This window comes from Homo sapiens, chromosome 3 (assembly GCF_000001405.40).
Source record: "Homo sapiens chromosome 3, GRCh38.p14 Primary Assembly".
Taxonomy (NCBI): domain Eukaryota; kingdom Metazoa; phylum Chordata; class Mammalia; order Primates; family Hominidae; genus Homo; species Homo sapiens.
The window spans coordinates 121,591,068-121,606,314 of NC_000003.12; the positions used below are offsets into that span (position 1 = coordinate 121,591,068).

Here is a 15,247-nt window from a genome sequence, read left to right on the forward strand (position 1 = left end):
GGTAATTGCACAATATTTTAAGTAACTCTGTGGATGAAACAAAGTTTCGAGTGCGTTTTGACTATGACCCACCATATGAGGCCAAGTGTGGAACTTTCCTCTTGTGGTGTCACATCAGCACTCAAATAATTTTGGATTTTAAAGCATTTTGGAATTCAGATTTCAGATTGGGGATACTCAACCTGTAATACCTCTTCTGAATATAGACGCAAAAATCCTCAATAAGATCCTTTTGTAGTTCATGAATGTGATGATTGGGCATTCACGTGGATGTGTGAGTGCTACCCTCGAAGCTTGTTTCAACATTGGCACATTATGCATCTGACTTGAAAAAACAAATTCTCAATAAAATACTAACAAACTAAATTTAGCAACATATAAAAAGGATAGATACCATGACCAAGTAGGGTTTATTCAGGAATGGAAGATTGATTCAACATAAAAAAATTCATCAATGTAATACACGATATTAATAGAATAAAGGACAAAAACCACATGATCATCTTGCTGGGCACAGAAAAAGCATTTGATGAAGATCCACACTCTTTCTTGATTCACTCAACAAACTAGAACAAACTATCAAACTCCTCTCCTTCAACTTGATAAAGGCCATCTACAAAAATCCACAGGTAACATTGTACTTATTGGTGGAAGACTGAATGCTTCCCCCCTAAGATCAGGAACAAGTGAAGTGTGGCCACTCTCACCACTCTTGTTAAACATAGTGCTGGAAGTTCTAGGCAGGGAAAAACAGCAAGAAAAGGAAGTTAAAGGCATCCAAATCGCAAAGAAAGAAGTTAAAATATTTTTGTTAACAGATGGCATGGTCTTGAAAATCCTAAGGAATCCACAAGAAAACTATTAGAACTAATAAACCAGTTCAGCAAAGTTTCAAGATACAAGATCAGTGTAGAAATTTTTTACAATTTTCAACTGCTATTTGCTCATTCCAAATAAGTTTACCTCCAAGGACATATATGTATGAAGAATCCAGGGGAAAGGTTAATTCGATGGCTGTTAATCACAGCCAAATTTAGCACATCTGCTGTTAGTCAAAATACATTCAAATACATTCAAATAACAGCTGGCATTGTGGAGCACTTGGCATGTGGTACATATCATTCATGTGCCTTATGTGTACTGACACAGTTACCTGTGGTCGCACCAAGTATCATCGCCATTTCACAATGGGGAAAACTGAAATAGAAAATGGTTAAGTAAATTTGTCAAAATCACATACCTAATCCCAGCACTTTGGGAGGCTGAGGTGGGAGGATCATGAGGTCAGGATTTCGAGACCAGCGTGACAAACATGGTGAAACCCCGTCTCTGCTAAAAATACAAAAATTAGCCAGGTATGGTGGTACGTGCCTGTAATCCCAGATACTCAGGAGGCTGAGGCAGGAGAATCACTTGAAGCCAGGAGGTGGAGGTTGCAGTGAGCCGAGATCACGCCACTGCACTCTATCCTGGGCAACAGAGCGAGACTCTGTCTCAAAAAAAAAAAAAAGAAAAAGAAAACACCAAAGCCGGGATTCTATATTTTTTTCACTCACAAGATCCTGAATGAGTTTATCTGAAGATGATAAGATAAAGAACGCTAGACTGAGAGTTAAACAAGCTCTCTGGGGCTTTCCTCTGGCTCTTCCACTAACGAGATGTGTGACCTTGGATGAGCAATTTCCCTTTTCTGAATCTCTGTCTCCTCATCTGTAAAAAGAGGGAGCTGGACTAAATGACAGCTAAAGCCTCCTACAACCTCTAATTCTCTCACACTGGATTTACTCTACACCTGGTATCTGAATTACAAACTCTCCCTTTTCCAGGAAAGATGAAAGGACCAGGGGAGGACAGACACTTACTTGTCACGACAAGAGATAGGAGAAACTGAAGCAGGACACCATGTCATTTGCACAAGTTGCTGCTTCAGCCAGTGATGGGTTTAGGTGAGGAGCATGGTTATAATTAGAGCAGCAGCCAGTCCTGAAGGCTGTGCCAGCCTCCTTCAGCACAGCTGGGCCTGCCGACTGCACATGCAGGAATCTGAGAGGCTGTTCTGGCCTTGAAAATGATCCTTCTTAAAAGGATTTTCCTCCTTCCTCAAGGGAAAGAAAACCTATTGATATAAAACTTCACTTCCCATTCAGTTTCCCCTGCTAAATGCCACTCCAGTAGAGACTGAGTGTTGATAAATACAGGGGAAGGAAAAAGTCGTAAGCTGAGCCTGGTCACATTGCCCCTTGTGATATCGTTTTATTTTTAACTTCGCAACACTTGGACTATTTCTGTTGAAGTTTTCTCTCCTTTCCCTGCCTTCCCAACAGAACGCTGTCCTCTACTGCAGCTGATGCAACCCAGCCACCTCCCGGCAATCCGCTTACTTGCAATCAAGGGTTCAGGTGCAAGCAGATGCTGACTCAGCCTGTTCCATTAAGGTAAGTATTCAAACAGGAGCAGGTGCACCATGACGAGGACATTCAGTGGTGAATATGCAGATGAAGCTGAGCCGCATATCACTTTTGTGTCCTGTGGAAGAGGATTGTTAAGCAAATTAGTTATGTAAAGATGTGGGGGAAAGGCTGGCACTGAGAATGAGATCCAGCCGTGTGTAAATTTCTGTTTCCATTTCAAGAGCAGGTAGAGTACTTGCTTTCTGACAGCTTAGGTTCTTTCTTCTATAATCAACAAGAGTAGTTATGATATCTGTAAAGTTACAACATGGTGATGGGTGGGGGGATCTGGGGAAGTGGAGGAGGTGGTGAGGAAACAAGTGGAAGGCCTAGAATCCAGGATTTCTATTCCCTTTTCTTTCTTTTTTGAGACAGTCTTGCTCTGTCACCCAGGCTGGAGTGCAGTGGCACCATCTTGGCTCACTGCAGCCCCTACCTCCCAGGTTCTAGTGATTCTCCTGCCTCAGCCTTCCGAGTAGCTGAGACTACAGGCACATGCCACCACATCCGGCCAATTTTTGTATTTTTTTAGTAGAGACAGAGTTTCACCTTGATGGCTAGGCTGGTCTTGAACTCCTGGCCTCAAATGATCCGCCCACCTCAGCCTCCAAAAGCGCTGGGATTACAGGTCTGAGCCACTGTGCCTGGCCCAGAATTTCTATTATTTATTTATTTATTTAATTCATTGTTATTATTTTTTTGAGACAGAGTCTCACTCTGTTGCCCAGGCTGGAGTGCAGTGGTGCAGTCTCAGCTCACTGCAACCTCCACCTTCTAGGTTCAAGAGAGCCTCCTGCTTCAGCCTCCTGAGTAGCTGGGACTACAGGCCTGTGCCACCACGCCTGGCTAATTTTTGTATTTTTAGTAGAGATGGGGTTTCACCATGTTGGCCAGGCTGGTCTTGAACTCCTGGCCTCAAGTGATCCACCCGCTTCGGCCTCCCAAAGTGCTGAGAATACAAGCATGAGCCGCTGTGCCTGATCAGAATTTCTGTTTTCTAAAGTCTAAATGCTGTGATCTTTTCTCCAGTCAACATTTGCTATGTTTGCTTGCAAGTCATTCTCATGTAGCTTAAAATTTCGTCTGCTGTGTCATACTACTGGTTAATAAGCACAACTGTATTTTCTGTATATACTATTCAAACTCCGCAGAGTTTAACACCTTTTTTTCGCCAACAATATTCTCTAAGTGTGGCCCTCTTCTCCCCAGCTCTCTTGAGTCCAAAATGCATCCATGAAATATAAGTGAAATATTTCTCAAGTTGAAAAACTTATATAGGCTTATGCACCAAAACCAAAGATTGTTACAAGCTTGAACAATTTTGCATATTCAGAGGGATAAAAGTAAAATGACTAATGATACTTGAGGTATCAAAAGTTATAACTTTAGACAGATAGTTTCTCGCTTCTGGAATAACTGTATAGTGTTGCATGCACTAAAAATTGGCAAGGTAAGGGAGCAGTGTTTATTTTCTTGTTTTTCACTGGTTCAAAGTTCAGCTAAGGACATCCTGGGAAGTGGCCTATGCAGCAAAAGGGATTCTGTACACTCTGACCTTTGATGTGTACAGGCTAAAGCCACCGATGCCAAGTAAAAGGAGACCTAAACTAACTATTCAGATACCTTAACTCCTGGTTCCTTCCTGCCTGTCTCTGTAACCTCCATATGTACCCCAAGACTCTGCTATAGGTGTCTGGGTTATCATTATGCCTGTTTCCTGGGCACAAGCAAATTCACTGTGTATAATCACCTAACTTCATTTAATTTTTCCAGGGCCTCCACAGCACCAAGGTCTCCAAGGTGTATGCTGGGATGCTGTCCTGGTGAAACTAGGGTGTGTTGGCTTACAAGTAACCAAGCAGACAGATTGAGTCCCAGCTACCCCTAGATAATCCAGTTACTTTAGCACTATCTTGGCCAATGCAACTGTAATTTAATAGAATAGTACTGATACAAAAGCACCAGATATAAGAATTAACTAGCTAATTCAATAACTAATAAGTATAAAGTTAGAGAGATTTCTAGTATAGGTGGAAAACTTCAGATTGTGAAGTGGAATGGATCTGGGAGAGGGTGGTTCTGTTTTAGGATACAGTGAAGGTACTGGAATCGCAGCGTCGAAGCCAAGGATTATGGAACCCAATGTGGGAATTAGCCTCAGCAAAGTGATTGTGTTAAAATCTCAAGAAGGCAAAGAGATTACTTTAATAATTATCTTTATACATTTTCTTTCCCTACAATTAAATATTTCCATAGCAGGGAAACAGGTCAACAATGCATAATTAAAGTAACTAATTAATTGGCTGGTTAACAGGTTAAGAGTTAAAAAATCTTTGACCTTTAACTTTTAACCTTGTCACTTTCACTGAAGTTAAAGCTCAGAAATAAATCATTATTGCCAGCGCCAGCCACATGAGGAGGCAGAATAGTTTAGTTACTGACATCATGTGAGGGGTGCTGAGAGGGCCCCTTGCCTAAAAATATCTCCCTGACATCAACCCTGTTTGCCTACTAACTTTAAAATTATAGAAAAGAATGTTAAAACTATTGTTTGTTAATCCCATTCTCTTTTGCTTGAGTCAGTGATTTAAATACACCTGCTATACGTGTTAGCATGACTTTGTTGACCAGCAACACTTGGTCACCACCTCCTCCTCCTTCTTCCACGCTTTGTCCTACTCTGCCCTTGGTACCATCTAAGCTGCCAACATGCCTTGGCTGTCACCACTCAGGTAGCTTTGTGTGGTGCTGTGATTTCTACAGACTCTTTCAATAAAACATCAAAGCACAATAGAAAAAAAGCACGTGACTAGAGCCAGAGACTCTGGGAGCATAGGCAAGACATTTCACTTCTCAGAGCCTCAGTTTCTCCTCTAGGAAACAAGGAGGTTAAAACAGACCCTTTCCTTTCAAAATGAGGTCCTTAGACCATCAGCTTCATCTGGATTTTGTTACAAGGAAAGAGTCTCAGGCCTCACCCTGGTCCCACTGGATCAGAATCTGCATTTTAAAAAGTTTGCCCGGGTGATTCCTTTGCATGTTGAAGTTTGAGAAGCTATGGAATATGGATTTCTTAATATCTGCCTGATCCAGATTTCGGATTCTGTGCCTGTCAAGTGTTTAAAAGAACAAGTACTTTAATCCCCTGCAAACAATCTGGCAGTGCTCAGATTATCTATTATAAATCCAGCCCACTGAGGTCTTTTCTTCAATGAGGCCTACATTAACCTAAGTTGAAATGATTTCCTTTTCACCTTAAAAAAAAAAGCAGCCCCAATTAGCATACATCTGACACCACTCTACTTTCTTCCTAAATTTGTTTCAAATTACTCTCGCAGCTTTTAAAATGCTGCCTTTTTAAGGGTTCAGTTTAATTCAGTTCAATCCTATTCAATGTTCTCGTTGACTGAGTGCTGGGGGCAGTGTTTGCTCTACTCACTCTCAGTCCCTAGAAGCCCATTTGGTGGGTCCTTAAGAAGTATTATCACCCTCTGTTGATATTCCGGTCAGACCTCCTTCCACTGCCTGCACACACCTCGCTGGCGACAACACTTGTGCCCATCATTGGAACCTCTCTCACCATTCTCACCATCACAGCAACTTTGCCAGGTTCTGCCAACTGCCACAGCCAATCACAAGAGAGAAGGCAAGTCTCAAGGACCACACTTTCCTTTTTTCTTGATGAGCAGAATAATGCAGATGAGCAAAAAAATTTACAAATTTTGGCCTAGGAAACAAAGATGCCTTCAAGTTGTCTTTATGGCATCTACAAAGTTTCAGTCCTAAAGCAGTACTATTTGAATTCCTAAGTGCTTAAGGAATGGCTCGTGGTGATTAAAGGGGGCCGAAAGTGGGGGGAAGTGTGGAGGCTTACATTCTTAAAAGAGTGAGGAAATAATTTTTAAAAAATAGAATTTGAATATCATCAAACTGACAGTGGAATATAAGATACATTGGAGTGAGGGGGACTGAAAATGGAAAGACCAGACATGGCTACAGGAGGGCAGTGGGAACACATGAAGGCCTGGAGGAGGGAGGTGACCATGAGAATGACCTTCCTCATAGAGTGACTCATCTATTACACACTCCCTATTTCATCTCATTGGATCCTTGTGCAACCCTATTGGTTATTATAGGCCCCCTTTTTTTTTTTTTTTTTTTTGAGACAGAATTTCACTCTGTTGCCCAGGCTGGAGTGCAGTGGCATGATCTTGGCTCACCACAACCTCTGCCTCCCAGGTTCAAGTGGTTCTTGAGCCTCAGTCTCCCGAGCGTCTGGGATTACAGGTGCCTGACACCACACCCGGCTACTTTTTTGTATTTTTAGTAGAGACAGGGTTTCTCCATGTTGGCCAGGCTGGTGTCAAACTCCTGACCTCAAGTGATCCACCTGCCTTGGCCTCCCAAAGTGCTGGGATTACAGGTGTCAGCCACCGTGCCCTGCTTATAAGTCCTACTTTTGAATTAATAAATTAGCTTTAGGTAGATTAACTTGTCAAAAATCACTCAGCTTATTCATGGGAGTGCTCATTGATTTACTTTATATTGGGGGTGTCAGGTAAGGACTCTCTGTGGAGGTAACATGTAAGCAGAAAACTAAGTGGCAAGAAGGAGTCCACAGAGCAAATACAGAACAAGAGGAGAATTCTCGTAGAAAGAGCAGGTACACAGGCCCTGTGCTGGAATAAGTGACAAGACCAGAGCAAAGTGCATAAGGGTGGGAGGTCAGGCAAAAGAGCAAGCAAGGGAGAGCTCATGCATGGCCTCATGGGCCAAGAGAAGGACTTCAGAGTTTATTTCCTTGTGAAGGGAATCCACTGGAAGTTTTAAGTTGGGGAGTAATAACCTAGTTTTGTAAATTGTGAAAAATTACGCCTTCTGCTGGTAAATATTGCCAATCCATTCTCCCCAAAATAGGAGCTTTAAAATTCCCCTGTCTTAGCAGTCAACATAATATGATTTAGATTTAAATACTACAAAGATTCATACAGAGCTAGATTTTTCTAGATGTGCTAGATGTAGTTTAAATGGAATATGAGTTGGTGGAAGGACCTGGTGTGTGAACTGAGACATGGTGCAAAATAGAAGGAGTGAGACTGATTATAAACCCATTGCACTACACCGGGTGAGCAAGGATGATGCCTGGCATTGGGCAGTGGTGGAGATGGAAAGAAGTGGGCAGAATTTGCCCACTCCTTTTCCAGATCTTTTGTCAAGGCCTTCCCACCTAATTGGCAATCCTCCCACCTTGGTCTCCCACAGTGCTGGGATTACAGGCATGAGCCACTGAACTGGGCCCAATTTACACCTTTCTGCGTGGTCCACACAGCACCACAATCTGCATCAAATCAAGTTGCTGCCCCCTTGCCAGGTGCTAAATGCTTCCCTATTTCTTTGAAAAACAAGCTATGCCTCAGGCTCACACACCTGGTCCTTCCACCAGCCTATGTTTCATTTAAACTACGTCCAGCACATTCCGTGTAGATCTTGGGACTATTTAAATCTAAACTATATTAGTTTGACTGCTAACTCCTCTAGACAGGGGAACTTTAAAACTCATATTTTGGAGAAAATGTGTTGACCATATATTTAACTGTAGTTCATTTTTAAGAGGATAGAACATACTGCTTTTTCAGACAAGAAGCAAGAATTTAAATGTGAACACAGGGGCCAGGGGTGGTGGCTCACACCTGTAATCCTAGCACGTTGGGAGGCCGAGGTGGGCGGATCACCTGAGGCCCGGAGTTTGAGACCAGCCTGGCCAACATGGCAAAACCCCGTCTCTACTAAAAATGCAAAAATTAGTTGAGTGTGATGGTGCATGCCTGTAATCCCAGCTACTCAGGAGGCTGAGGAAGGAGAGTCACTTGAACCAGGGAGGTGGAGGTTGCAGTAAGCCAAGATCGTGCCACTGCACTCCAGCCTGGGCAACAGGAGCGAGACTCTGACTCAAAAAAAAAAAAAAAAAAAGTGAATACAAGGCATAGTAATTAAAAGGGAAATGGCACCTGGATAGCCATACTCTGTCTCAGGCATAGATTTTTGTCAACCTTTTCACAGTGAAGAATTTCTATAATCTGAGTGCTTTGATCTAGTAGGTATTTCATTTTAAATATCAGAATCCATATTGTAGTGCATACACACACACACACACATGCACACACACACACACACACACACACACACACATATATATATATATATATATTTTTTTTTTTTTTTGGAGACGGAGTCTCACTCTGGTGCCCAGGCTGGAGTGCAGTGGCACAATCTCCACTCACTGCAAACTCTGCCTCCCGGGTTCAAGAGATTCTCATGCCTCAGCCTCCCAAGTAGCTGGGATTACAAGTGTGCACTATCATGCCTGGATAATTTTTGTATTTTTAGTAGAGATGAGGTTTTTCCATGCTGACCAAACTGGTCTCAAACTCCTGACCTCAGGTGATCTGCCTGCCTCAGCCTCCCAAAGTGGTGGGATTACAGGCATAAGCCACCATGCCCTGTCTAAACACACATATATATATACACACACACACAGGATCTTGCTGTGTTGCCCAGGCTGGAGTGCAGTGGCATGATCACGGCTCACTGTAGCTTCAATCTCCCAGGCTCAAGCAATCCTCCTGTGCCAGCCCTCCAAGCAGCTAAGACTACAGGCATGTGTCACACTTGGCTGATTTTTTTTTTTTTTTTTTTTTTTTTAGTAGAGACGAGGTCTTGCTGTGTTGCCCAGGCTGATCTCAATCTCCTGAGCTCAAGCAATCTCCCACCTTGGCCTCCCAATGTGCTGAGATTACAGACATTTGCCTCAGCACCTGACTTATGTAGTGCATAGTTTTTAACCCTACAACCTTCCCTTTCACAGTTATATCCTCTGAAATGCAAAGCCATTGGGCCTGGATGTTCCTTTTGTTTTCTGTACTCAGAGAGGGCACAGTATGGGATATGATCCAAAGAAGTATCAAAATAATCGCCATAAGGAAGGAGGGGCTTCTTAAGGAAGGGCATCTGGCTCCTTTACAACCTGAAAAGATTAATAATACATGTGGACACTATTCTGTGCCCCAACTCTAGCGATGGGCTTGCATTTTTCCCACACCATGTGGATCAAACACCTGTGTCTCCATGGGCCTTTGAGGGCCAAGTGTGATGTAGCAAAGAGTATAGAGTTTGAAGACAGACAGGCCTAGGCCTCTTTGTGCCTCAGAATCCTTATTCATAAATTGGAAATGGTAGTACCCACCTCACATGGTTGTTGTGAGAATTAAATGAGGTGTTATGTAAAAGCATAGGAAAGGCACTAAAATTTCATTTCTCTGCCTCCGTGACACCCAAAATGCAGAGAAATCTCTCAATCTAGGAAAGTCACACAAACCCCATGGGGGATAAGGATCCTGTTACTGGGCACAGGAACAGAGAAGATTGGGAGAACAGGTCATCTTCTATCACAAGGCAACCAATGATATATCTAATTTGATCATTTTGGGGCAACACCAGTTGGTTCCTACTTAAGGTGATCAATCAACTGTCCAGATTTGCCCGGAACTCAGGCATTTTCTGGGATATGGGACTTTCAGTGCTAAACCAGGAGAGTCCTAGGCAAACCAGGACAAATTGGTCATCACACTTACCCAGCCATGATTAGACTATCGAGAGTTCCAGATTGACCCTTATATCAGTGAGAACAATTTCCCCCCCATACACAACAAAGGCTCAGATGTGATTTGTTTATAGATGTGAGGCTATTTCATCTTCCCCCTTCCTTTCATTGTCAAACTTCTCTGGAGTGGTCTCCACTCACCGTGCCTTTCTGCTCTGTACATGTCCTCTCTCAAAGTCACTCATCGGGTGTAGCTCCAAAGCCTGGTAGGAGAGCTTTAAATAGCAACATGAAAAAAAAAAAGCGTCTTTGTTATCTCTTAAAGGGACATTTTCAAGTAACTTCAAGGAGCTGGAGAACAATAAGGCTGCACAACAAATGTTTCCAGCTTCAATAATACTGTTCCCAAGAACCATACTCCATAGTGCTGAAGGGTAAGAAATGATAGAGCTTAAGAGTTAGTCACCAGTGTCCCTCCAGCCAGACACAGCCCTGCTGCTGGGGCAGAGTTCTCACTGCACGCATAGAAGCACACTGAACTAGCCAGCCCTTCTTTTCCTTTCCAGGAACTGAGCTCAACTTAATGACAGAACAGGCTGGCATATATGAAGTTAGACTTTCCTGGAGCTGGTAGCTTTTTTCACAGAGCATTATTCCATTTGTGATTTTCCCCTTCTTTCCCACCTAAAAAGCAGCAGGGGACTCTGAATTATCCAGACTTTGTCATCATTGGTGAATTTCTCTTCTGAATAAAAATAGATGGCCACATTCTCTCAGCCAGGACAGGCCCTGACAACAATGGAGTGTATGCTTAATAGCTTTTCCTTCCTCTACAAGCAAACAACACATTTTCAATGGCCAAGGGTCCCACTGCGCAGCTAAAATGCCACACTTGCTCTGGCAAGAGCTCTTTGGGGACCTGCCATAAGCAGTGACATTGTCATCATTGTTCTTAACTTTGCAGTATCATTTGAGGCCGTAGCTCACTTTTTCCTTTGCATCTGTGACAACATAGTCCTGACTCTTTTAGCTCTCTGATCTCTCCGTCTCTGGTTCTACTTCTTCCTAATTTCCCCCAAAGCCATCATACTTGGCTATGTACTTCATGGCTCCAATTTCTATTCTGTTTTTACTTTCCCACATATGGCTTCCCCTCTCACTTGTAAGTGGATACTTCACAAATCTGCATCTCCACATTCCAGTCCCTCATCTTCCCATCCATGAGATCTATCATCCTCTCAAGCAACTTGTATTAAACTTTCAGGACCCATCTCTCCTCCCCAAATTGTTCCCTCTTTAGATCTCTATTTTTCTCAAAAATTATAGCCAACATTCTTTCTTCCTGGTTCGAAATCTTGGCATCAACTTTGTTTCCTTTTTTACCATCCCAGCCAGAAATAAAAATGTGATTCTCCCTTTGTAATGTCTTCTATGTGTCTCATCTTGACTATTTTTACTGTCATTGGTCTCACCCATCCAAGCTTCCATCGCATTCTCTACACAGCAGTTTCTAACTCTAGGTCTTCCTACTCCATTTATTCCTCCAGTACTCTTACTTAACACCCCAATTACAGTGTTAAATGGCTCCCTATTGTGTATCAAATAATTCCAGATGCTTTAGCCTAATATTTAAACATTTCCACATTAAGTCCATAATGGACTCTTTTTTTTTTTCCAAAAGTGACCTGGAATATGGCAGGAATCTACCTCTACATTACACTGCATGTTAAGAGATCAGTAGCTGGGCTCTTGGACCCAAAGATGTGTTTCCTGCTGGATCCTATTCTGCTCCATCACAGTCCATTTTTGTCCATTCAGGCTTCTATAACAAAAGATTCTAGACTGGGCAGCTTACAGACAACAGAAACTATTTGGAGACTGGAAAAGCCAAGATCAAGATGCCAGCAGATTCTGTGTCTCGTAAGGGCCTTCTTGGGTCACAGACTGCCATCTTTTACTCCTGTCCTCATGTGGTGGAAGGGACAAAGGATCTCTCTTGGGCTTCTTTTATAAGGGCACTAATTCTATTCATGAGGGTTTTACCCTGATGTCTTAATTGTTGCCAGAAAAGAGTGTCCTGATCCAGACCCCAAGAGCAGATTCTCAGATTCCCACAGGCAAGAATTCGAGGCAAGTCACAGAGCACAGTGAAATGGCAAGTTTATTGGAAACTACTCTGTTACAGTCTAGGGCATCCTCAGCAAGAGGAGGAGCACTCCATCTTTTGTTAGTGTCTGTACTTATAAGAAACTATAAAGAGGTAAATTAAACTTGGAATGTGCAGACATGCTCTGATGTGCTCACTAAAGGTAGTGGCTGTCAGTGTTATCGATGACCATCAATCCTTTAACCTCAGCTTGCTCTTTAACATTATCTTTAAGCAAAGAGGGCTGCACTGTCAGGACATCTGGACATTCTGCAGGCTTGGTGAGAGATGTTTTGTCTGGCCATAAATATTCTGTAATTATAAGTGGTGGTCAGCTTGGGATGTGGCTATTTTCAGACCATAAGTATTAACCTTATAGGTGCTTTGTGGGTGCCTCACTATTCACTGAAAGGTGACATCACTCTGGTCATAGTTCTTTTTTATTTTATTTTATTTTTATTTTTATTTTTTTTGAGATGGAGTCTCACTCTGTCGCCCAGGCTGGAGTGCAGTGGCACGATCTCAGCTCACTGCAACCTCTGTCTCCCCAGCTCAAGCGATTCTCCTGCCTCAGCCTCCCAAGGAGCTGGGACTAAAGGCATGTGCCACCACACCCAGCTAATTTTTTGTATTGTTAGTAGAGACGGGGTTTCACCATGTTAGCCAGGACGGTCTCGATCTCTTGACCTGGTGATCTGCCTGTCTCAGCCTCCCAAAGTACTGGGATTACAGGCGTGGGCCACCACGCCCAGCTCTGGTCATGTTTTATCAAGCCAGAGGCCTGGTAAATAGGGGTTCCTCTAACATATTTCCCCCTTCTGTCATGAGTGGACCCTTAATCCTAAGGGACACTGAAGGGCAGAGGTCAGTCTTCTGCAACCTCTTCCTGCTGAGAAACGTCATTGATGTTAACTCTGCCTAGCTTTAAGGGACCTGTCATGTTGGGAGGGGTCTTAACCAGAGGTAGCTTGAAGCTGTTGCAGTTAACTGGAGGAGCAATAGGTCTGTAGGTTTGTAGGTCACTCATAAGTTGATATCCTAAACATAGAAACTTATAAGAATTATAGCTATAATTATAAAACATGATATATGAGTACCATACATTGTGAATTAAGGATTAATAATAAGAATAGGGCCCAGTAAACCCTACATTCCATGCAAAACATGCAGCAACAATAAAATCCACAACATAAAGCTATGCCTATTCCAATTTTTATAGCTGGGGTGACAAAAGGAACTTTTTCCACCATGATGGCCCTGACCCAAACCACAATGTTAGCCATTATCTAAAGAAAGTGTGGGATTAGAGATGGCTTTAATTTGTTGATGCATATCTGGAGGGCCAAAGAAATATTGTCTGAGTTATTTGGGATATATATACAATATTTGATTCTGATAATAGCACAGGTTCCTCCCTGTGCCGCAGTCAGAGTATCTAATGACATTCTGTTTTGCATGATAGCCTTATGCATATAATACATTTCAGCATTTATAAAAGATATATCTCACAGGCTGTTACTTACAGCCCATGGGGTATCATTGGCAATGACCTCAACATGCCAGATAGCATCTTATAATCTAACAGATGGTAGGAAGAGTGAGGCCAAGTGGTTATACCCATGAAAAATGGATCTGGCCCACATACTGGTTATGTGGAGAAGGTTGGCTGGCTTTATTTATTTATTTATTTATTTATTTATTTATTTATTTATTATTTATTTATTTATTTGACACAGTCTCCCTCTGTTGCCGAGGCTGGAGTGTGGTGGCATGATCTCGGCTCACTGCAACCTCTACTTCCTGGATTCAAGCAATTTTCCTGCCTCAGCCTGCCAAGTAGCTGTGATTACTGGTGTGCACCACCACACCTGGATAATTGGCCAGGCTGGTCTCAAATTCCTGACCTCAAGTGATTCATCCACCTCGGCCTCCCAAAGTGCTGGGATTACAGGCATGAGCCACCATGCCAGCCTGGCTGGCTTTTTTAAATAGTCTTTGTCCAGTGACCTGGGGTCAAGATAAGCTTCATGTACAATGTCCTAGCCACCCAGAAGGCAATCATGGCCAAAGATTGGTGCCACATATCCAATGAGTTCCTAAGGGATGCATATCAGTTGGGTTTTGGTCGTTGCGACCAATCGGTAGCAGATAAGTCCATTTGTTGCAGGACTATGGTATGTTGGCATTGTCTTGCAGGAATCCATCCCATGACACAAGTAGCATTTGTCAAGGCATCAAGGGAGTGATTCCATTGTTCCTAACACAGTGGGACTACCTGACTTAGGTGTCCTGCAGAGGTGGTTAGTCATAGAAAACCATCTCAAATCTGAAGAAATCATTCTTCAAAACTGGAGTTTTTGAGCTTTTTAGTTTGGATGTTTATCTTTGGGTCTAGAAAGGAGGTGCCCAGTGCAAGAAACTTTTCTGTGGTCTCATTTACTGAGAATGGCTTCCTATGCCCAGAATTGCTAAAATTGTTATTAATTGGCCATTGGGTTACATTGTTCCAAGTCAGGCCAGACATCTGTGCTTTTGTCCATTGTTTAAGTCCCTCTAAGTATGTCTGTAAGTTATCTAAGCATGTCCCTGTGTGGGGGATATCCACCAGGGCAAGCCTGAGATGCTAGAGAAGGGCAATAGCTCACAAATCCAGCAAGAGGACATCGGCATAGTCCTGTGCCCATTGTAAGAAAAGATTTGAACCTCCAGCAATAGTGAAAGGAAGGATAGAAGCCCCAAAATAGACACAAATAAAAGAGAAGCTACATTCTATAGTTATATCCTGTAAGGACATAGATATTGCTTACCCAGAGCTGGGACAGACTCATACCAGTAAAAGTAAAAGACGACCAGGAGGAGGATCAGGAAGACTAACCTTGCCCCCAAGCTTATCCAGAGCATCACTTTGTAGTAAGAAGCTTCCAAGGATTTCTCCTGAAGAGGAAGTATAGACCTTCTACTGGCTCACAAGAGTAAACTAGATTAGCAGACTGGGTGTCAGAAGTGTAGACCTTCTACTGGCTCACAACGGTAGACTAGATTAGCAGACTG

The 15,247-nt window shown here is 42.8% G+C and overlaps 1 protein-coding gene and 1 non-coding gene across 2 annotated transcripts in view, besides 6 other annotated features; both read left to right on the plus strand.

Moving 5' to 3' along the window:
• The first annotated feature begins 226 nt into the window (after positions 1-226).
• LOC124906360 (small nucleolar RNA U13) lies at positions 227-327 on the plus strand. Its single transcript, XR_007096327.1, has one exon. It is a non-coding gene; the product is annotated as a small nucleolar RNA U13 (small nucleolar RNA).
• Positions 1,669-2,868: an enhancer, noted in NCBI's record as "BRD4-independent group 4 enhancer chr3:121311583-121312782 (GRCh37/hg19 assembly coordinates)". NCBI's record gives its function as "activates an origin of replication core promoter dependent on BRD2, P300/CBP, MED14 and CDK7 cofactors, and independent of BRD4, by STARR-seq in HCT116 cells {active_cell/tissue: HCT116}" and the evidence as "EXISTENCE:reporter gene assay evidence [ECO:0000049][PMID:35650434]".
• Positions 1,669-2,984: a biological region, named in NCBI's record as "BRD4-independent group 4 enhancer GRCh37_chr3:121311583-121312782".
• Positions 1,682-2,332: an enhancer, noted in NCBI's record as "OCT4-NANOG-H3K27ac-H3K4me1 hESC enhancer chr3:121311596-121312246 (GRCh37/hg19 assembly coordinates)". NCBI's record gives its function as "activates a minimal SCP1, AML or CMV promoter by ChIP-STARR-seq in primed H9 embryonic stem cells {active_cell/tissue: H9 hESC(primed)}" and the evidence as "EXISTENCE:reporter gene assay evidence [ECO:0000049][PMID:30033119]".
• Positions 2,255-2,549: a silencer, noted in NCBI's record as "tiled region #577; K562 Repressive non-DNase unmatched - State 13:Ctcf". NCBI's record gives its function as "represses a minimal TATA promoter and a strong SV40 promoter by Sharpr-MPRA in K562 cells {active_cell/tissue: K562}" and the evidence as "EXISTENCE:reporter gene assay evidence [ECO:0000049][PMID:27701403]".
• Positions 2,312-15,247, plus strand: part of FBXO40 (F-box protein 40) — a 36,917-nt gene continuing 23,981 nt past the window's right edge. Inside the window, exon 1 of the mRNA NM_016298.4 lies at positions 2,312-2,435. The gene's annotated coding sequence lies outside the window, so the exon portion shown is untranslated. The remainder of the gene's footprint in view (positions 2,436-15,247) is intronic.
• Positions 2,333-2,984: an enhancer, noted in NCBI's record as "OCT4-NANOG-H3K27ac-H3K4me1 hESC enhancer chr3:121312247-121312898 (GRCh37/hg19 assembly coordinates)". NCBI's record gives its function as "activates a minimal SCP1, AML or CMV promoter by ChIP-STARR-seq in primed H9 embryonic stem cells {active_cell/tissue: H9 hESC(primed)}" and the evidence as "EXISTENCE:reporter gene assay evidence [ECO:0000049][PMID:30033119]".
• Positions 6,422-6,622: a silencer, noted in NCBI's record as "peak4794 fragment used in MPRA reporter construct". NCBI's record gives its function as "represses an SCP1 promoter by STARR-seq MPRAs in K562 erythroleukemia cells {active_cell/tissue: K562}" and the evidence as "EXISTENCE:reporter gene assay evidence [ECO:0000049][PMID:32103011]".